The following is a 23,718-nucleotide window of genomic DNA, read 5'->3' on the forward strand; positions in this document are numbered from 1 at the left end:
GTCACAGTAACAATAATGTGAGAGACCAGAGGCAAAGGCAGCCTCAAGTGTTATTTTTATGAGATTGTATTGGAGGCCGCGGCTATTTATTGGGGAACTGGTCCTCGTGAAAAGCACATTTCTTTTTTCGATTTGGAACTCTGGGGGGCTCCTTTCAAGGAAACCTTACCCGAGGTCAGCTCTTCGTGAGTGTCCTCTCCTCTCTCTGCTTCATTCCTGTCGGGGATGTTTTCCTCCCCCACTGCCTGCTGTCAGCTAAGCCAGAGAGTTCCCCTGAGGGGTAGTACCTCTGCCTGGTCCTACCCGATTCCTGGGCTGTCCCGGCCAGACAGCACCTGTCATCCTCCAGGTTTGAAGTTGGAGCTCCTGGGAGAATTGTACCTGTGTGTTCTTGTGCCCACCTACTTGGAAAATAACCATTCTTTAGGGATGAGAGGGAAGCAGCCAGGAGGCACGGTGCTCTGTCCCGGAGCCACAGAATGATGTCAGCTCATTCAGAATGATGTCAGAATGATGAGTGTCAGCTCACAGGGCCTGCTACGAAAGATCCCAAATGGAAGCTAAAATAGTGCTGTGCTGTGATCCCGGCAGGTCCTGAGAGCACACTCTCTCCTTCTTCATTTTGTCACATCAGCGGAGCCAGATGGTGTCAGAGTATGCTCTTTCTCTCTGCCAACAATCATCATGCACCTGAGCCCAGGACATCAGTCCTATTTCCCACACTCCTGCGTGACAGAACTTCTTACTCCCATTTCACAGCTACAGAAAATGAGCCAGGAAGGGTGGGTAACTCGCACAGGCCCATTTGAGGGAAGCAGCAGAGCTAGGCTGAGACTCGATTTTATCTGATGCCTGAGCCTATGGCACTCCTGGACAGGTTCCTGGAGTAAACAACACCAATACAGCACTCTGAATTTATCTGATGAAGACTGGTGTGGGTGAACTAGGAACAAATGCCACCAAACTATAAGAATTAGGAAACACTTTTGCACATGCTAGGGACTGTCAGGAACTACTGGGGGCATTACCACAGGACAGCCTTGGTGCTGTCTCCAGCAGAGCCTTGAACTCCATGTCCACAGCACACACTGGCATGGGTGGTGTGAGTCCCAAATTCCAGGTGGGGTTAGGCACTGCCCTTACCACTTCTGTTGTGGGGTTTCCTTGTTTCTAGTGGTAACTCAATTATCCTAACATACTACTCTTGATACATCACATCATATTGATGCTGGATATCTTTTGTTTTTTTTGAGATGGAGTTTTTCTCTTGTCACCCAGGCTGGAGTGCAATGGCGTGATCTCAGCTTACTGCAGCCTCCGCCTCCTGGGTTCAAACAACTCTCCTGCCTCAGCCTCCTAAGTAGCTGGGATTACAGGTGCCACCCATCATGCCTGGCTAATTTTTTTTTTTGTATTTTTAGTAGAGATGGGGTTTCACCCTGTTGGCCAGGCTGGTCTCGAACTCCTGACCTCAGGTGATCCATCTGCCTCGGCCTCCCAAAGTGTTGGGATTACAGGCGTGAGCCACCATGCGTGGCCGATGCTGGACATCTCTTAATAAATTCTAAGCCAGGTGTGGTGGCACATGCTTGTAGTCCCAGTTACTAGGGAGGCTGAGGCAGGAGGATCGCTTCAGCCCAGGAGTTCTAGGTTGTGGTTAGTCACAATCCCCCTACAGCTCTCCAGCCTGGGTGACACAGTGAGACCTCACCTCAAACAAAACAAAAGGAAATGAAACAAACAAACAAACAAACAAACAAAACCTACCAACAACAAAACAAAACCAACAAACAAAAAATCCCAGATTCTAAGTAGTAATATGGCTAAGCCCAAAGGGAACTCAAATTACTAACTCTTTTTAGTTTCGTTCCATCTGTTGGCTGGCGTCTGATCAGAAGGGACCCGCAGTTCCTGTAAAGCCAGTTGATGCATCCAGTGTCGTATTGTCCTTGACTCAGTGTGGTCTGTGCTTGCAAACTGACTACACGTATTAGGGCTTATTTGGTTTTCTATTTTAAGGAGTTAGTGTAAGAATGAATTTTTTTCTCTATTTTTTCCTTATATAACTTGCCCATCAAATTCTTTCCAATTGTGTCATTAGAGGCCTGGTGATTACGTGCATGACAAGTATTTCTTTGGTTAGTTATCCTCTTTTTTTCTTATTTTTATTGTTCAGACTTGACAGTTTGTATATCTTAAAATATCTTTTCATTTTCTTTGAAATATGTCTTTTGTAATTTCAAAACTACTGAAATTATACTTCATTCATCCATAGCTTTGATCAATTTTCTGCTCTCTTCTTGTTTTACTAAAATTAAATTTACTCTTTTTTACACTTTCATTTACTTGTGAGTTGTATAATGTTTTATCTTTTTTTTTTTAAGTCTCAATTCAAGTAGCCTAATGCCCTTGTTAAATTACTCTATTTTACCTCCTTGTACTTAAAGGTCATTTTGTCATATCTTTTGAAATGCAGTAGGGCCTCTTTTTGGACTTCCTATGCCACTGCATAGATTTACATTTCTGTTTTGTACCAATTTTATTTTTTTTAAAGCACTGAAACATCACACTATGTTCTAATATTTTGTAGGATTAGAATTTTTCTAGCTCTTCTTTCTTCTTAGGAAATTTTTGTTTTTAAAAACACATTTACTTACCAATTATATTTTAGAGCCATTTTGACTTAAGAAATTATTCCAGTTGGTATTTTGATTATGTTTCCATTCCAATATAAATGCGAACTTGGGTTGAGAGTGTCCTCTCACCCTTCCTCTTTCCTCACTCCCTGGAGTCATCTTGGCCAACTCCAGGGTCCCTGTGTATGGAGCACTTGATGTCCTGTATACCCACCTCCCCTGCTGTATGGCCACCTCTATGGAGGCTGTAGCTTTCCATAGAGTACCTGCACTCAGCCATGGCAGAAAAAGCACAACGTCCTAAGTCACTAGTGCAAACATCCTAACTCGACCATAATAATTGCGGATTCAAAAAATGTCCATAAATATGTATATTTAACTCCATTAAGAATAGTTGTGTTTAGCTGAAAATGCTCTATCGATACCCTAACGATTGGTGCTTAATTTCTAATTTTTTTGCAGTTGAAACAATATTAAAATAACTCTTTTATACATATTTTAGATACTTTCCCAATTGTTTCCTCATTAAAAATCTATCAAATGAGAATCTTTGGGTTGAAGAGTATGTACATCTCACAATTTAAAAACATCTTGCTTACTTGACTTCCTGAAGGGTTGTACCAATATGCATCTCCTTCCAGTGTTCATACTTAATTTTGATTATTTGTGTGTCTCCTTGGAGTACTTGAGTGGAGAAAGTATTCCTCATTCATCTTTATAATGCCAAAGTCTCTAGCTCAATGTTTGAGAAAGTGCTAAATAAATGTTCATTGAATGAACATTGAAAGAAAAGCAATTATTTTTCAATAGAAAGCCAAAAAACAACCCTACTCCTCACAAAAAAAGAGAGAAGGGAGAAAAAAATTGGTTTATTTCTTTCTGTCAGTATCCAACTAACTAAAAGGTTTGCAAAAATTCACTTGGGGAAGGAATTTTGGACTTTGATGGAGAGATGTTTGGAAGCCTCGACTCCTAACTGTAAAGGATCTAGGCAGATCAACTGTAACTATAGTTGCTGTTTGGCATTTGGATTATCTCTTAGCTTGGACTTGTGCTTTGTTGGAACTCCTTGTGTGAACATTGGGCTGTGTTTTCCTGCAGTGCTTAACAACAAGAACTTCAAAATACATCTGGGAAAGTCCCCTCTTTTGAGAGGTTGGCATCTAGAGGCCCCAAGTGCCCCAAAGAGACACAATAGAATTTCATGCTTCTTTCAAAGCCCTTTGTTTCCAAAGACAAGGGCAACAGACTAATTATGTGCTTTACTTTAGCTTCCTGGATATTCTAAACTTATGGTGTTTTCCTCTTCTCTCAGCCAACGAGATCTTCTGGCTAGCTCCTCCCTTTGAAAGGCTCTCTTTCTTTCTTATTCATTTACAATTTTAGTTTTTGTACCTAAGCATTTTATTCTTTGTGGTTTTTAGTTGCAACCAAATCCACATACCGCATGAGTCACTTGGAGGATTTAAAAATATATTTAGACTCAATCTGGAGATTGTTTGTTCAAGACAGATGGAAAATTACATACTTAATCTGTAGGCCTGAGCTTCTGTCCAGGTACCATCACAAATTAGTTCCAAGATATTGCACAAAATAGTAATCTTTATGACATAAAAGGTGTAAAACTGGCACAGTATTACCTATCTCACTGGTTGTTGTGAGGATTAAATAATGAATGAGCAAGTGCTTGCAAATGCTTCATGGTTATGCAAACGAACTACTTAAGGATAGGGCTTGGTCTTCACATCTGAATTCCCAGGAGAGCCTCATTCAGGGATTGTGTACGGCTCTGCTTCATTTAGTTTCACAAGGACATTCATTCCATCCTCTTGGACAGAAACTAGGTCATGTTGGTTTTCACTGCTATTTCCCCAGTCCCTGTAACAGTGCCTGACGTGGTACACAATTCCGAATGAACGAATGAGTGAAAGCACTTATTTTTATTGCCTTAGTACACCACAGTTTATTGATCTATTCTCCCATTGACGGGGTTTGCATGACTTCCAATTTTTTTTTCTTTCGCAAGTAATGTTGTGTAAACACTTTTGACCATTGAGCATACCTCTTGGTTCATGTGTATAATCCCTTCTTAACAACTGTGTATTTGGTTAAATTATATAGTATTCTTAAGGTTGAAACCAGTCTAATCTAACAGAATTAATATGGTTCAATTTACTACATAGTTATTGAATTATTGGGCCATAGAATTTGCAAATCCTTAGCTTACTAATATTGTCAAATTGCTGTCCAAAGTTCCTGTTTATGCATATGGTCACTGACAATGAGTACTCTCAGGCTTTTTACATTGTCCCGAATTGGTGGGTGTAAAATGATGATCTCATTGGGGTTTAATTTGCATCTGCTTGAGTACTACTGAAACTGGGCATCATATAAGGTGTTCATAGTTTGATCTTGTCTGCTCATTTCTTTTGACTGTGTTCAATTCTATCATTTCCTACTATTGATTTGTAGGCATTTGTAGGTATTACAGATAACTGCATTATCAGTTATACATGTTGAAATAGATGCTTCAAGTCTATGGCTGGTCTTTTCCACTCTTCAAATGGCTTTTCTGAAGAACAGAGATTTTAAATTTGTAAATAGCTTAAGTTTCTTTTGTTGTTTATGACTTTCGTGTCTTATTTAAGCATTAAAAAGAAAAGGAAAACTGTCTGTTTTCTTCTGAACATTTTAAAAAAGTTTCGTTTACTTTTGGCCAGGTGTGATGGCTCCCACCTGTAATCCCAGCACTTTGGAAGGCTGAGGTGGGCAGATCACTTGAGGTATGGAGTTCAAGTCCAGCCTGGCTAACATGGTGAAACCCTATCTCTACCAAAAATACAAAAATTAGCCAGGCATGGTGGCGCATGCCTGTAATCCTAGATACCTGAGAGGCTGAGGCAGAAGAATTGCTTGAATCTGGGAGGCGGAGATTGCGGTGAGCTGAGATTGCACCACTGCACTTCAGCCTGGGTGACAGAGCAAGACTATCTCAAAAAAATAAAAAGACAGTTTCTTTCACTTTTTATTGAGACAGGATCTCACTTTTTCATCCAGGCTGGAGTGCAGTGGTGAGAACACAGCTCACTGTAGCCTCAACCCCTTGGGCTCAAGCAATCCTCCTGCCTCAGCCCCCCAAGTAGCTGGGACTATAAGGGCACACCATCATGCCTGGCTAATTTTTGTATTTTTTGTAGAGATGGGGTTTCTCCATGTTGCCTAGGCTGAAAGTTGTTGTTGTTTTCTCATATTTAGAGTTTTTTATATGATGATGACAAAGACCTAATCTATCCCTGCCTCCTCTATCTCCACTCTCAGAATAACCAGTTTTATAGCACAATTTGTTGCAGAAGAAATTATTGTCCCTTTGATTTGTCAACCACCTTTCTCATACATCAAGTCTCCAAATATGCACAGCTCTGTTGCTAGGCTCTTCCACAGGTTGCTTTGCTTATTATGGAACTAATAGCATGGTGTTTTAATTACTATTACAGAAAGCTTTGTTATATGAAAGGACAAGTTATTTCAACCTGTTGATGAAAATTGTCTCAAGTATTTTTGACCATTCTTCTCCCAAATACATTCTAGAATCAGCTCATTAAGTATGATAACAACAGCAAGATCAAAGCAAATAAAACAAAACAAACAAAAACCTTTTGGAATTCCATTAGAATTGCATTGAGCCTACAGATCAATCTGGGTAGGATTAACATCTTTATGGTACTGAGTTTTTTAATGCAGTAATGATATTAATCTGTTCATATATTTAGCTTCTTTTTGCTGTCTTTCAATAAAGTTTTATAATTTTCTTTATGAAATAATTGCACAAACTTTAGTCAAAAATTTCCCCCAGATGCTTTATCTTTTGTTGATAATACAAATCATATGTTATTTAAAAACACTTTTTTTGATTAATACTTGCTGTTGTAGAAAGTTATTGAGGTAGGTATTGGATTCTCCTTCTATGAAGGTAAATTCAGAATTTTCTTCCTGTAATAAAATATTGTAATATAATGTAATTGTTGTGCTATATATTTTGAGGTTAAATGATTAAGTATACACGTTCATAATATTATTATACTTTTTGGTATCAATCTTTTTGTTATGTATTAATCCTCTCAATCATTGATTGATATCCTTATATATTGATAAGAATGACAACTTTCCTTGTCTTAAAGTCTTCTTTGTTTGATATTAACATAACTAATTTGTTTAATATTTACCTACCATATCTTTTTCATCTCCTTCCTTTTAACCATTCTATGTCCTTATATTTTAATTACAGCCATTCTAAATAGCATATAGCATTTTCTTTTTGAAATCAAGCTTGATAATTCTTGTCTTTCAAATAGTGAGTTTAATCTAAGCATTATTTGAAATTAAAGCATACTATTTGAAAGTTTCTTTAGTGTAGGTCTGTTGTTGGATAACTTGGTTTCTGATTATGTGAAAAATTTCTTTTAGCCTCATTCCTGAGAGATTGTTTTTCTGGGTATACAATTCTAGATTGACAGAATTTCTTTCAGCAATTTAAAGATATTTAACTATCTCTGGGTTCTTATTTTTGATGAGTCTTCAGTAATTCTAATTATTTCTTTGAGGTGATGTGTCCTTATTCTTGAATTGATATTGAGATATTCTCTTTTACTTAGTTGTGTTGAAGTTTCACTATACCATGTCTTAGTGTAGATTTAGCTTTCCTAGTAAATGTGGTATGTACTTTATCTATGGATTTGGACTTGTGTCTTTCATATTTTCTAAAAAAAATTTTAGCCACTAGTTACTTAAATATAGCCACTCCTACTTTCTCTCCACTCCCCTTGAGGGGCACTCTCTCCCTTAAATTGAATCTTATATGTTAAGATTCAGCTCATGAATTGTTTTTTCTAATTTATTTTTTGGTCACTTTCCTCTCCTCAGCTCTTTGTTGATTTATTTTACTTCCAGAAAGACCAGAAATGCAAGAAAAATGACATTCTTTTAGCAGGAATGCCCCTGTCGTTTCTAGTCAGCATACTACTGAAAGCAGAAGTGATATTCCTTCATTTAAAATTTTCTTCCATTTTCATTTGGTCTGGAATTCATTGCCAAGCCTTTTCACCCCTCAGGGTGTTTGGTAAATATATTATCTGTGTTATTTCATTATTGAGAATATGTATATATCTGTGTGTATATGCATATATATATGTGTGTGTGTATATATATATATATATCAGTGTATACATATATATATCAGTCCCTGTCTCTCTATATATATCACAAATATATATACATATATATTTGTAAAATTTGTTGTTTAAAGGCCATTTAGCTGTGTGTCATTTTTTTTAATCCTACTTTTTTTCTCTTAGAACTTTGTAAATTGATGCATTGGCATCTAACATGAAATGTTTTGAGGATATATTTAAGGCCAGACTGATTTTCTTCTCTTGTTAGGGAGTTGTCTTTTTTTTTTTTTTGTCTGTCTAGACACCTGTAGTAGTAATAGTTTATTTTTGAAGTTCAGTAGCTTGAAGTTTAATGGCCGTAGTTTAACTACAGCTTATTTTATTTTTCTGAAATATAGTATACTCTTTCAGTCTGCAGATGAAATCTTCTCTATTTCAGGGAAATTCTCCTATCTTATATCTTTGAGGAATATCGTCAAAAAATATTTTGTTCAATTTGTTGGATTCTTTACTTTGGGGGTGCCAATTTTCCTTATGTTGTATAGTCTTTGTTTTTCAAATATATTAGCTTTTGCGTCTTAATATTTTTGCCTTTAAAATGTTTTTAAAAATCATTATTGTTATTGTAAGCTGTTTCTTATTCCAAAAATTGAAATTTAACTAGTATGTATTTTCTTTTTATGGTTTCTAAATCATTTAACATTCCACAGTGATGATTTTTTTGTTTTTTTTCTTAGATCCACAATCTCTTTTTTACTTATTTGTTTATATCTTTTTTCTGAGCCCTTGTTTTCTGAATATTTGTCCTTATTAAAGTGTTCTTCTTAATGGGGCACTTGTAAAGAAATTCTTCATTTTATTTGAGTTGTTTCTTTTCCAGGCATGCTTTATGACTTCCTTTTGTTTTCTTTTTCTTTTTCTGTTGGTTTATTTCCTTCCTAATGTTTAGATAGCAGCTGTGCTCTTTGTTTTATTGCCACCTATACTTGGGGAGTTCAGCCCAGGTATTATATTTGTTCTTGACTCTCTTTTCAATAAATCTGGGAACAGTTTTATTTCTCCTTCAATATCTAGTGTGATCCCTAAGCATATCCTGTATGCTCTAATCATCTATAGAAGGAGAAGATTGGAAATGGTCAGGACAGCCATGGAGAAGAGTGAGGGAAATCATCTGAGATGCAATACAACCTTTATTAGACCAGTTGGGCTCCGTGCTCTCCTATGAAAAATTGTTAAACGTTTTGTGTAATGTTCAGTTCATTTTGTGGAAATTGCTCTCCAGCTTTGGATTCTTCTCACATTTCTCTATGTAGTCCTGGAGGTTTCCTCGAGAGTCAGCCTCATTGTTCACTTTCCTTGTTTATTTGATCATTCTCAGTAGCAGTTTTTCCAACTCCTCTGTCAGAAGCAGGAGATAAGGAGACTCCTTTGGGTTGCTCATCTCCATGGATGTGGGTTTTGGGGATAGTCACCAGGATTATGAGGGGACATTGTTATGGCTTTAGAGATTGTCAACTGAGTTGGGGTTGAAGTATGGTAGGCTTATTTGATCTGCTCTAGAAACTTTTTTTTCTTTTTTTTTACGTTTTGGTAGTTTTTTTCTATTAGGCAAATACAAGTTTATTCCTGCCTCCTCTAATTTATTTTCTTTTCTCTCCCCCCACCCCACCCATTTTGTCTGGAAGAAGAAAAAGTCTGTGAGGAAGTTTCAATGTATCATTTTACCCAGGAGTCCTTTTTGTGTACATGTTCATCTGTATGTATTGCTAATGTCTTCCCAAATGCCATCGTGGCTCAGCTGTGCTGATGGAAACATGGAAAGGTTTATATTCATGCTCAGCCCACAAGGTGAGAGGAATGGTAGTGGAACAGGGATCTGGGCATCCACGAAATTCATGGTGAGAAGTGCCTTGCGGATGGGAAGCTCCGGGGTACAGGACTGAACGCTTCCACCCTCTGCTGGTCGGAGCTTCCCTCCTGGAAGAGTAGGAGGGCTTTGTGGTGGTTTGGTAGTGGGGGCATTGTTTTGTTAACTGCTAATAGGTTTACCAGACGGTTATTTTTCTTGAGAGGAGAGCCTGTGGCAGCATCTGTGCCAGCGCATTTGGACAGCAGAAGTGCCAGTTTCTGCTTCTGATTGGGTCACTTTCTGGTGTTAAGAAGTCAGCAATGGAAGGTCTGAGATGTGCGAGATACGGTGAAGCCCTAGCATTAATCAGACAGCATTCCTATTTAACAGGGGTAAGATTCAAAATGTTAAGCAAGATTCGAGGATAATAATGACATATAAGAAGAAAAACGTGATTAAAAATGTGATGAGAAAGGGAAGGCTGCCTTTGCACCCCTGCAGAGAAATAGTCTTATGAAAGCCACTCACACACAATGGAAAATGACACAGCAGAACTGGTGTCTGGCTACTTTTCTCTTGAATGGAGCAACTTCAAATTCAGAACAATGAAAGATATTTTTTCACTTGTGATTTTCAGAAGGGTCAGTGACCACCTTGTAAATAAAACACTCTGAGATGTTGTTTTTTAGGTTTAATTGGAATTCTGTTATTATTTCAAGATGCTTAGAGAAACTTCTCAACGATAAGATTCAAGGTTTTATTTTCTTCCAATAATATTTTCATTTGAAACTAGAGATCGGATGTGGATTTTTAAGACTGGACTGAAAAATATTTGTGATTTTAGAGTTACTACTATTTTAATTTGGCTTTGGCAGGGTCCTTTAAATGATGTTGTCTTCATGTGAAGGGAACAATATCCAGATACTATAAATAAAAGGATTGATAAATTAATGGCATGAAAGATTTAGACAATAAAAAGGCAAATACAAAGTTGGAGAAAGTATTTGTAATACCATAAGCCATGAAAAGGCTGAATTCTTTAATTAAAAAATTAAATACAAAATGATGCTTTGTAAGTCTGTAAAAATAAAGAACAACTTAATAGAAAAATAGGCAACTGGAAGAACAGAGAGTTAATATGCAAGGAATTATTATATGCTTAACTTGTGAAAAATGCTTGATCTTAATAACTAAAGTTATCATTATGTTTTTGCATATCAGCTTGACAAAAAATTAAGTTTGTTAATCCTAGGTGCTATTGAGAGTGCAATCAGAGTAAATGATAATTGGTTTAGTTTTTAATGAGGGCATTTTCACTACATCTATCCAAATTAAAAATCCACATTAAAAATCATATACACTTCAGTGCAGTAATCCCATTTGGCAATGGTACCTCACGGATCTACTTACAAAAGTCAGCCAAATATGTAAAAAAAACCTCATGAAGTTAAAAGCTGGGATTCATTGAACTGCATCTACTTGATTTCATAATGTGCATTGGTTTTAGTATGTTGCTGTCTTGTTATCTGTAATCAACTATAATAGAGTAATATATTTGGTGTTTTGGACCAAAATTCATGCTACACATATGTCTGACTTTGATGGCCTTTACCTTTTCAAGAAAACTGTTGCAAATTTGAGCAAAATTTTCCCAGTTGTAATATTTCAATAGTGTCATGTAATAGAAAAAATTTAGAAACACTCCTAAGAGAGTTTTCAATTTCAAGCAGAAATGCTTCTCTTCTAAGTAAGTACCACTTTAATTGATAAAAGAAAAACAACCTCATGATATCACTGGCCCCAAATAGAAAAACATGCAAATTTTCATGATGAAGTGATTGGTTAAATAAATTAAATCCTACGGTGGAATATTATGTAGCCTTTAAAAGTAGCAAGGTAGAACTATAAGTGCTGTTATGGAAAATTGGTTCTAACACATTAGTTATACATATACATGTATTTTGTAAATAGATAGTTTATCCTATAGGAGAGTGGTTATAATCTTTCTGTACTTTTAAAATTTCTTAACCATACATATGTTTATTTACATATTTATAATGTCAAAAGTTATATGAGTCTTGGTTCTATAAACCATTTTCTGTTTTTTATACAACTACTTGTCTTAAAAAATAGCTATTGTATGTTATTAAAAATGAAACAGAATAAAAAACCCAAGAAAATTATGTGTTTATTATTCTTAATGCTATCAAGTTATCATTTAATATGAGGTATATTTTTTATTTTGCTTACTTATATTCAGTCAGAATTAATGATGGAATCTTCCCCCACCACCTCCCTACCCCAATACTCCAGTAACTTATTAATTTATTACAAAGAATGACCAAAATGACTTAAATAAGTAGTTATCTCCTGAGCGTCCTTGACCTTTCTTTATAGTTTAATTGTGGTCCCTTGAACCAGAGGGTGATCTGCAGGCATTTTCTTTGTTATCAGAATGTGTGAAACTAGGTTTCAGGACTGTGTCAGAGAACTTTTTAATCATGATGCACTTTTTGTCACAAGAAATACTTCCTCGTGGAATATTTCAAAGACGGTGATTTATTTTTAATTTTTTAATTTGAGACGGAGTCTCGCTCTGTTGCCAGGCTGGCGTGCAGTGTGGTGCAGTCTCGACTCACTGCAACCTCCACCTCCCGGGTTCAAGTGATTCTCCTGTCTCAGCTTTCTGAGTAGCTGGAATTACAGGTGTGTGCCACCATGCCTGGCTAATTTTTTTTTGTATTTTTGGTAGAGATGCAGTTTCACCGTGTTGGCCAGGCTGGTCTGGAACTCCTGACCTCAAGTGATCCGTCTGCCTCGGCCTCCCAGAGTGTTGGGATTACAGGTGTGAGCCACCGTGCCCGGCCAAAGAGGGTGATTTCTTTTCTTCTTTAATTATACCAGGGATGGAAAAACTCTTTTACACCTGTGTTTTGTCTTCATGGCTTTAGGCCACTCATCTGGTCACATTTAGATCTGCTTACAAGGAAGGATTACTGCAATGGGATATGACCATGGCAGTTCAAAGAATAAAGAAACCAAAGTGACCAGAAGTTCATGTTAGTTCAAAGCATTATAACTGGGAATCTGAAACAGTAAGATATCCTCTTTGGTGTTTGATGGAGCATTCTTAGCCTGCAGATTTTTAGGTTTTTTTTTGTGCATTTATTCAATGGCTTGCCTACTTTTTGTCTGGCTATAAACTTTTGTATTTGCAAAATGATGTCACATGAATTCAATACAAGATTATCCACCATAAAACAAGTGAAGAATGATGACAGTAAAATTAATTTTATGACAATTGAGGCTTTTCTATTAATTTTTTGGGCTATACCTTATAGGTGGTGTTTTTTTTTTTCCTCAAATGATTAAATTCCATGTGTGAAATGATTAAATTCCATGTGTCAAAGTTAATTTTCTTTTAACTTTGAAAATTTGAGGTTGTACAAAGTATTGCAATCATTTGAGTAGCTCTTTTGTAGTCTGTGTCAAGAGATTTTACTCCAGTAATCTTAGTTTTAGGAGTTTATTCTAATTTTAAGAAAATAATTCAAATGAAAGATTATTTATACACAAAAATGTTACTTAACAGAAGAATGTGTGAATTATGGGATATTCCTTTGGTAAGAATATTATGCAACAAGTAAGCTGATAGTTATAAATCTTGTTTGGCAATATTGAAAAATATGCATAAAATGAAGGTAAATGAGAAGTGGATGCTACCACCAAAGCCAGCAAAATATCTATTTGGGTAAAAAAGTCAGAAATGTTAAAGAAATTAGAAAAATAAAAATAGTTGCTGTATTGAAGTATGGGAAATACGGGTGAAGTTATTTATTTCTTTAATTTCTGTAATGTCATAAGTTCTGAAATAAATAAAAATGTGCAGAAAAAGGAAAGAAGCAAAAGCTGGGTCTGATGGGAGAAGAACAAGGAGATGACACCGTCACAGATCTGGACGCAATGATAAATGAACTAGGCCTTGTCTGTGGGCTCCTGTCCCAAATGACTGTTCTGAGACACACAGCAGGGATTAAAATGACCTCCTTCAAGAGATGAAAATATTGTAATACCTTACAATTTATTCAGGTGATTTTTTTTTTTTTTTAATTTTCTAGGTCCTTTTCCTTGCTGAATTCTTCTGGCCTTGTATCCTGTTTGTAATTCTGACAGTTCTTCGTTTTCAAGAACCTCCCAGATACAGAGACATTTGTAAGTTTCACTTTTTAATATACTTTTTGAATTAACCTTTGGAGAAAAAAAACTCATAGCACTCTTTCTTGTTTTTTATAAACTCTGAATGCTGAGTGAAATGAATAGATAGGGTTTCATTATGACAATAACAACATATCTGGAGTATATGTCAATAAGCCACAATTTAGGTTTTGTCTTTTAAGAATGATATTCACACAGGTTCACTCAATCTAGCACATAGATTTATTCTTCCAATTAAAACTGACACAATCTGGGCATAAGTAAATAGCCATTATAAATATAGAAAGGAGAAGAAGTAGAAGTGGGAGATGCATTTCATAGTTTATCAGAATGATACTGATAGTAATGTTGATGGTGGTGATGATGGTGGTGAGAAAATAATGATGCTGATGATATGATGATGATGGTGAAGATGGTGATGATGGAGATGATGGTGATGATGATGACAGAAATGATAATGATGGTGATGATAGTTATAATGGTGCAAGAGATAATGATAGTGGTGATTGTGATGACAGAGATGATAGTAATGAAGATGATGATGATGATGAAGATGATGATAGTGATGATGATGTAGATAATAGTAACTATGATGATGATGATGATGGAGATGATGATGGAGATGATGATAGTGATGATGGTGATAATAATAGAGATAATAGTAATGATGAAGATGATAGTGATGATGCTGGTGACGATAGTGATGATCTTCATGATAATAAAGATGATAGTAATAATAATGGAGATGATGATTGGGAAAATAGTGATGATGGTGATGATGATGAAGATGATGATAGTGATGAGAGTGATTATGATGGAGATAATAACCGTGATCATGATGAGGGAGATGATGATAGTGATGATGCTGACAATAATGTAGATAATAGTAATGATGTGATCATTATGATTGAGATGATGGTGATGATGATGGAGATGATAGTGATGATAGCGATGAAATGATGATGGAGATAACAGCAATAATAATGATGATGGTGATGATGATGATGATGATGATGATGATAATGAAGAGTAGTGATGATGCAGCTGATGATAATGATGGAGATGATGATGGTGATGACAATGTTGATGATGATGATAATGATGATGATGATGATGATGATGCTGATAGTGATAATGATGATGATAAGAGTGATGATAGTGGACGATGATGATAATGATGGAGATGATGATGGAGATGACAGTGATGATGTTGATGATAATGGAGATGATGGTAATGATGGTGATGATGATGATAATGGAGATGATGGTGGAGATAATGATGATGGTAATGATTACGATGGAGATGATAATAGTGATGATGGTGTTGTTGGTGATGATAGTGATGGTAATGATGGAAATGATATTGATGGTGATGATAGTGATTACTATGTTGATGCTATCAGTTGTGATGGTGATGCTCTGATAAACTATTACTGGTAACTTCCTGTGCTTCAGGAAAATGGTCAGATGGACCATTTTGTTTTTCTGGGTTGAAACCTTAACAACATCACTCCTTGAGAAATAGTGGCCTGCTTTGTCTCTATCAGGCTATACCACTTAAATATGTATAATGTGGTTGACTCTGTAATCATTACATCAATAAGGGTTTAATAAGTGTTGGGATTTACCCAAAACAGTGTGTCAGTTATATTTAGGTTTTACACATATTAGGACCATTCCTATCAGTTTGTCTTTGTTGTTTGGAGACTCTATTGTGTGTTGCAGAATGGAAAAATGTAAAACCCATGTGAGTAAAATATCATTTAAGAAAACCTAAAAAGCTTTTCAGGGTTTCTACTTTATTATTATTATCAATAAATATGTATTGAGTGCCTTTTGTGTTTCAGGCTGAGAATAAAATGGTGGACAAGGCATTTTCCCTGCCTTTGCAGAGCTCACTGTAGGGCCAGACTATTAGACTGTAGTGGGAAAATTGCCATGATGGGATTTTATACAGGGAGCCATGTGAGCACACAAGAGGGTCAGCCAATCCATTCTAAAGAAAGCCTTCTCAGGCACTGTGCAACTTTGTCAGAACAAGAGAGTGCAGAGGAGAAATTGCCTAGGCAGGGCAGACAGCATGGACAAAAACCTAAAGTAGAACCAAAAGGCAGAGATGTGGCTGAAGTAGTAAGCAGGGTCAAATCAATAAAGGGCTTTGTATGATGTTGAGGATGGTGAACTCTCAAAGAACATGAAGGAGCCATTGAAAGGTTTCAGGCAAGGTCATAATAAAATGAGCATTTAGGGGTCACATTCTGGACACTGGAAAAGGCAGAATTTGGGATTGGTGGAGAGCAACACTAGAGAAGGCAAGATCAACTTGTGGAACTCTTGAATAACCAGGCAAGAGATGGTTGTGCCCTGAAGCAGTGGGAAAAGGGCAGATTCAACAGACATGAAGGAGGTAAGATGGGAAGAAACAACTGGCTGGATGCATGAGGACAGGGAGGCCTTTGACTGGAACAGCTGAGTGGAGAGTGCACTCCCACTGAACTGACAGGGCACAGGACATGTGGGGGATTTGGGGAGCTGTGCTCAGCATGACCATCCTGAATTTGAGGGACTCTTGTGATTGTCAGAGTGAGTCGCCTAATCAATCAGATTATGAATTTGGAATCACATAGATGAGGACACCTAAGAAGGAGAAACTTCCAGAACATAGGCCTCAAGAAGAGCACATTCAAGGGACAAGTAGAGGAGACAATAAGCAGCAACCAGAGTGCTGGAAGGGAAACAAAGAGGTTTGGAGTCTGCCTGGGAAGCACTGAAAGAAGGAGGTATGGCAGAGTGACAGGTGCTGTTGCTGCATGAGTAGATAAGGACTGACAAGTTCTCCAGGGCAGTTCAGTAGAGGGATAGGATGAGGAGGGCCAGGCTGCAGCAGCCTGAAGAGCAAAGGGAGTGAAAAAAGGGAAGGTAAGTGATAGAAAACCAGGTGTACTGTGCAGGAGAAACGGGCAAAACAGGGCAAAAAAAGCTTGCATGCAACCAGAGGATAACGTGGTATCAGGACTGATAAGAAGCCTCAAAATGATAGTGGCTAATGCAAAATTGTGAATGATTTAGTTGTAAATGATAGAGAGCACTAAGTCTGCCATCCACTGTGGTAGTAGCTCAGTCCTGCCCTATGGAAAGGGTAGCTTATGATGTTCCTTATCCTCGAAGTTTCCATCCATCCATTAAACATTTATCAAACTCTTGCTTTGTATCAGGACTGCAGTCCAACAAAGATGTGGCCCAAAGAAACACTGGAAATGTTTCCTAGAGGTATGCAGATGAGCTTTCCTACAGAAGGGAAGGCTTTGTCAGAGCCTCAAGGGGCTCAAGAGTCAAAATTGATCAAGGACTGCACGTTGAAGCTCCATCAAGCCCCCCATCAGCTCTGTGGGGATGGGCATGGCGTGCAACCTTTGTGAGCCTCTTCTCTATAAAGACAGCAAATTTCCCCTGGCTCCCAGGGCTGCTGTGAGGACTTGGTGAGAAAGCCAGTCAGGAGCATGCACTCAGCACCAGCCTGGCATGGCAATGACTAAAAAATGCCCATCCCCCTCCCTCATGCTTCCCACTGTTTTGGGGTGGCCTGATGTTACCATGCCAGGTCTTTAATCTTGGAGACAAAGTGTGCCCAGGGCTGAAGTCCTCAGTCTCTGACCCACTGAGCACTGTCTGTGGGGCCACCATTTCTGATGTGTTCCTGGAGAGATAGAGGGGACACAGAAGTCACGTCAAGGAAATGCACTATCTGGGCACTGTTGCTGACCCCTGAAGTCACCACCATGTGGAAGATGTTCTGTGCCTGTCTTGTTACAGGAAGAGCTGGCCCCGTTCTTGTGCTGTGACTGAGAGGGACCTTAGAAAAGGTGATATGGATTTTACAACTTTAGAATGAAGCCAAAGACTGCATATATGGGTATTTTCACTAAGAATAAATAATCTTCCAAAGTTAAGATTATTTGCATAGGAAAGTGAAATTTCCTGTTAAGTGCCTTGAGAGATTAAAGCTTGAGAAGCTTTATTTATCTGTCCCAGTAAATTCTGTTTGTGCTGGTGAAGTTAGGCTTGTGATCACCTATGGTTTGGGCAGGCTGCACATGCAGGAGGACAGGCACAAGCCCAGGGTGCTGCTGCTTCCTCGAGCTACATATGAATGTGAAAACCGCTGTCAGGGCAGCGCTGCCTTTGTGTTCTGGCTTTCAGGGACTGGGAAAAGAGAAAGACAAGAAGCGGTCACAGACCCTGGGGAGACCTGGGAAAGTGCTCCAGGTTTCAGATGGGCCCTGGCAATACTGGGGCGCTGGACAGGCATCTCCATTCCAGGTCTGCTCCCTGGGGAGGTAGTGAGGTGTGGTAGAATGAACATTTGACCTGGAGTCAAAGTAGATAAGGGCTGACAAGTTTTCCAGGGCAGTTCAGTAGAGGGATAGGATGAGGAGGGCCCGGCTGCAGCAGCCTGAAGAGCAAAGGGAGTGAGAAAAGGGAAGGTAAATGATAGAAAACCAGGTGTACTGTGCAGGAGAAACGGGCCGGTAATCATAAGTTTCATGTTGCTGCAGCCATCAGCATCCTCACCACTCCCACCCTCCTGATGGTGTGAAGGGAGGATATGGTTGGGGATGTGTAAACAGCACATTATCCATAGAGGTGGCTATTTTGTAGTGACATTTGTTCTGAAAAGTCCTATTCAGTGTAGACAATTTTTTTGTATTATACAATATTTAACAACTATATTTAAACATTAAGAATTCAACTTGCATTAAGCTTGAAGTTTTTTTGCCAAAACTAAAAACTCCTACATTTTTATATGAGATGGGAAGAAGCATCCTTTCTATTCTTCCTACCCACAGCTTGTTTACAGAGAGCGGTGTCTGGAAGCTTGGCTGTGCATCAGGGTTATTTCCACTCAGTGAATGGGGAAGCTTGTGAATCCTGCAGCTATATGGCTGCTCAGAGCCATTCTGCCTTGAAACATGAGTACTGACCCTGGAAGAAAGGTGTTAGATATAAAGGTTTTTCCATTTTGTTTGATTCTTTTTGTCTGAGCCCTTAGATCTCCTTTAAATTAATAGCAAGGTTAATAATATAATAATATGATGTTATATATTACAATTTCAACTCAACAGGAATTCCATTTCTGGTAGCAGGTATACGGACTCATTTCTTCTTTGCATCTATTTCTAGGTTATTTGCAGCCCCGAGATCTACCCAGCTGTGGTGTTATCCCCTTTGTTCAAAGCCTTCTTTGTAACACTGGATCAAGGTGTAGGAACTTCAGCTATGAAGGGTCAATGGAGCATCATTTTCGGTAAGAGAAACACAAAGATCTTTTTCAGAAATCTCAGAAAGCTGATACATAGAACAGGCTTCTGCTTTTTGTAAAGCCTCAATAATTTGGGATAGGTCAGAGATCATGAGAAGTATAGAAATTAAAGTTTTATTAAATTCAGAGTCATATAATTCTGCCTCCAACTAATGGTTAGCTTCCAGCAGGAGATCTTTCCACTGTCACTTGCGGGACTCACAGAGTAATAACTGATTAGCAAATGCCATTTGCATGTAATAATTTGTTTTCTGTAGGTTAAAACTCTTGACTTCAAAATTACTTGTCTAGCCAACTTTTCATTTTAGTGCCACATGCCCCCAGAACAATTATTTTTTGAGCTACCTACTGGGTTTTTTCTCCTGTGCTGCTAGTTGACTAGAATCTTGTCGCCAGCTGAGGGAAAATAAAACTGGGCAGTAACTCTTTATTTGTCATAAACCACCTAAACGGACTACAGGACAGTTAAGTTGCCTTCTCTGAGTCTCTGAATGCTGAGCTATGCCTGTGGTTGCCTACAGTGTCAGTTGGCCTTAAACTCAAGAAGAGAAGGAGAAGAAGATATTTCATGTGAGAAGAGACAAAGTGAGGGGGTTTAACTTGGGGGATACTGAATGCCCTGGAAACTTCTCCCAGGTGAAGTTAGGAAGGGAAGGAAGTGGCTAGCGGATTAAGATAGTTTGAATTTATCAGGTATGAATGATCTGAGTTTTATTTAATCTATATTTACTAATATTAAACAATCTAAGATATTTAAATGTAAAGCAAATGTTGACATATATGATCTTTATTTTCCAACTCTAAGTTACAAGAGGAAAATTAAAAGTTTCCAGATAATTTTCGGCATATCAGGTACAATATTTATAAATGGTGTTGTTTTAGTTCATTTGGGCTGCTATAATGAAATACCATAAACTGTGTGGCTTATAAGAAACAAATATTTATTTCTCATAGTTTTGGAGGCTGGGAAGTCCAAGATCAAGGTGCCAGCTGATCTGGTATCTGGTGAGAACCCTTTCCATTATAAATGACACCTTCCAGCTGTGTTCTCACATAATGGAAGGGATGAGGCATCTCTCCAGGGTCTCTTTTATACGGGCACTAATCCTATTCACGAAGGCTCTGTCCTCACGATCCAATCACCTCCGCTATATCATCTTAGGGGTTATGTTTCAACGTAAAAATTTGGGGATGGGAGATGCCAACTTTCAGGTCATAGTAGGTGCTTACTTTTTCTGAGACAAATCATATAGAAATATGATATAAAGAGGCTCATTTGAAAATACTGTAAAGTGATAACCCTGAAAAGTTCAATGGTCTTTTCTTGAATGTGTGGAGAAGGGAAATATACAAAACTCTGTCTTTCTTGGAAGCATTAGAAGAGCTTGAGACTTAGCAGTGTCTTTATTTCAAGTCTTTCTTATGTCTCTTCCTTACTTGGATTGGGAGGTTTAAATGATGTTGAAGTGGGAAGAATATGATTTTGTGGCTAAACAATACTGGCTCTGTTACCTGTGGTTCTGTGAATCTGTGCAAATTAATTGACCTCTTTGAATCTGTTTACTCACTTCAAGTGTTGTGAATGTTAAAGACAAATATAGAAAACATCTAGCGCAATGCATGGCACAGAGGCATTCAACCAATGGGAATTGATAATAACAAATTCTTATTACTACGGCTGTAACAATTATAAAAATACTACTTGAAGGCCAGGCACGGTGGCTCACACCTGTAATTCCAGCACTTTGGGAGGCCGAGGCGGGCAGATCACCTGAGATCAGGAGTTCAAGACCAGCCTGGCCAACATAGTGAAACCCAGTCTGTACTAAAAATACCAAGAAATTAGCTGGACACGGTGGCAGATGCCTGTAATCCCAGCTATTCGGGAGGCCGAGGCAGGAGAATTGCTTGAACCCAGGAGGGGGAAGTCGCAGTGAGCCAAGATTGCGCCACTGCACTCCAGCCTGGGTGACAGAGCGAGACTCATTCTCAAACAAAAAAAACCCCCCAAATTACTTGATATCAGGAAATAATCTACCTTTGTTTTCTTTGTGTTTTTCCACATCAACATCCTCACTTCAATGTGCAGAAATTCAGGGGTTATAAAAGCAACCTGGTGAGATTCTTCACCTAACATTCTGAGAGTGGTAGTCAGGTTAATAGCTCACCAGCATTGCAAAGCCTTTAACTTTGAGAACGAAGAATGAAATTCCTCACTTTGTCTGGTAGTGCCCAAGTCAGAGGTATAAGAAATACAAAATAAAATAGGGAAAGGAAATTGTAAGGAGTAAGGAAAGAGGGAGAGGGAGAAAGGAGACAAGAAAGAGTGAAGCACGCTGTCAGTAGGGCCTCTGGTTTCAGACTCAGCCACTTGACCAAGCAGATTTCATGCGTTTTCATATTGGAGTAAGTGTGGATTCAATTGAAGTTCAAGCCCATAAATAAAGACTCACTCCTGATTATTTTGTGGTAATTGTCTCAGTTAAAAAATACCTGAAAGCGGCTGGGTGCAGTGGCTCACGCCTGTAATCCCAGCGCTTTGGGTTGTTGGGGAAACCAGCCCCACACCACCTGGCAGGTACCCCAAGTCCAGCGGAGACAAAGGAAATAGAAAGAGAATAAGAGTTCAAAGGCGGGTCCAGGGGTCCTGAGCATCGGAGGCTCGCTCACCGCGCAGAGCTCTCAGGCTCCGCCTACTTTATTGGTTTACAAAGCTCTTTGTTCTTAGGGCAGATGGGAGGGGGAGGAAGGGATGAGGAAAAGGATTAATCAGTGAAGGAGAACTCCTGAGTCATTCAATAAGAAGTATAGCAATGGCGGTTTCCGTGAATTTCCTTGAGCAAAGGCGTGTCTAAACTACTTAAGATCTTTAATTTATCTGGACTGAAATGGGTGGGAGCGGGTTTCAGGAGGAGCCAAGATGTTTGATTATACTCCACTGCTTCAAGGGAGTGTTATCTCCCTGAGCAACCTGTGGAATGCTGCGGAGCTGTTACGCTCTCGGGCATAAAGACAGGAAGGCAGTAAGGAGACTTTTCTCCTCAGAAGCTGCCCATGGCTGTCTCACACAGAGGAGACCAACTCGTCTGGCATCCCAGCACTTTGGGAGGCTGAGGCGGGTGGATCACGAGGTCAGGAGTTCGAAACCACCCTGGCCAACAGGCTGAAACCCTGTCTCTACTATAAATCCAAAAATTAGCTGGGCGTGGTGGCAGGCACCTGTAGTTCCAACTATTCAGGAGGCTGAGGCAGGAGAAGAGCTTGAACCGGGGAGGCAGAAGCTGCAGTGAGCAGAGATCGCACCACTAAACTCCAGCCTGGGCAACAGAACAAGACTGTCTCAAAAAAACAAAAAATCTTGAAGGCAAATATCACAGTTAATTTAGTTCATAATGTGTCTGGAATTGGTGGGTTCTTGGTCTCACTGACTTCAAGAATGAAGCCGCAGACCCTCATGGTAAGTGTTACAGCTCTTAAGGTGGCACGTCTGGAGTTTGTTCCTTCTGATGTTCGGACGTGTCCGGAGTTTCTTCCTTCTGGTGGGTTCGTGGTCTCGCTGGCTCAGGAGTGAAGCTGCAGACCTTCACGGTGAGTGTTACAGCTCTTAACACGGCGTGTCTGGAGTTGTTTGTTCCTCCCGGTGGGCTCGTGGTCTCGCTGGTATCAGGAGTGAAGCCGCAGACCTTTGCGGTGACTGTTACATCTCATAAAAGCAGTGTGGACCTAAACAGTGAGCAGTAGCAAGATTTATTGCAAGGAACGAAAGAACAAAGCTTCCACACAGTGGAAGGGGACCCTAGTGGCTTGCCGCTGCTGGCTAGGGCAGCCTGCTTTTATTCTTATCTGGCCCCACCCACATCCTGCTGATTGGTAGAGCCGAATGGTCTGTTTTGACAGGGCGCTGATTGGTGCGTTTATAATCCCTGAGCTAGACACAAAGGTTCTCCACGTCCCCATCAGATTAGTTAGATACAGAGTATTGACACAAAAGTTCTCCAAGGCCCCAGGAGAGGAGCTAGATACAGAAGTGTCAATTGGTGCACTCACAAACCCTGAGCTAGACACAGGGTGCTGAGTGGTGTGTTTACAAACCTTGAGCTAGACATAAAGATTCTCCAAGGCCCCACCAGAGCAGCTAGATACAGAGTGTCGATTGTTGCACTCACAAACCTTGAGCTAAACACAGGGTGCTGATTGGAGTGTTTACAAACCTTGAGCTAGATACAGAGTGCCGATTGGTGTGTTTACAATCCCTGAGCTAGACATAAAGGTTCTCCAAGGCCCCACCTGAGCAGCTAGATACAGAGTGTCAACTGGTGCACTCACAAACCCTGAGCTAGACACAGGGTGCTGATTGGTGTATTTACAAACCTTGAGCTAGATACAGAGTGCCCATTGGTGTATTTACAATCCCTGAGCTAGACATAAAGGTTCTCCAAGGCCCCACCAGACTCAGGAGCCCAGCTGGCTTCACCCAGTGGATCCCGCACCAGGGCTGCAGGTGGAGCTGCCTGCCAGTCCCGGTGCCGT

At 39.1% G+C, this 23,718-nt stretch overlaps 1 protein-coding gene across 28 annotated transcripts in view; it reads left to right on the forward strand.

The window, feature by feature from the left end:
* Positions 1-23,718, forward strand: part of ABCA13 (ATP binding cassette subfamily A member 13) — a 476,040-nt gene that overhangs the window by 7,730 nt on the left and 444,592 nt on the right. For all 28 annotated transcript variants that reach the window (XR_926914.3, XR_926915.3, XR_926919.3 and 25 more), the window contains exons 2-3: positions 13,772-13,865; positions 19,050-19,173. Coding sequence is in view for 25 of the 28 variants with exons in the window: in XM_011515130.3 (XP_011513432.1) it covers positions 13,772-13,865; positions 19,050-19,173 (218 nt within the window). In the remaining 3 variants the exon portion in view is untranslated. The remainder of the gene's footprint in view (positions 1-13,771; positions 13,866-19,049; positions 19,174-23,718) is intronic.

Source organism: Homo sapiens, chromosome 7 (genome assembly GCF_000001405.40).
Source record: "Homo sapiens chromosome 7, GRCh38.p14 Primary Assembly".
NCBI lineage: Eukaryota > Metazoa > Chordata > Mammalia > Primates > Hominidae > Homo > Homo sapiens.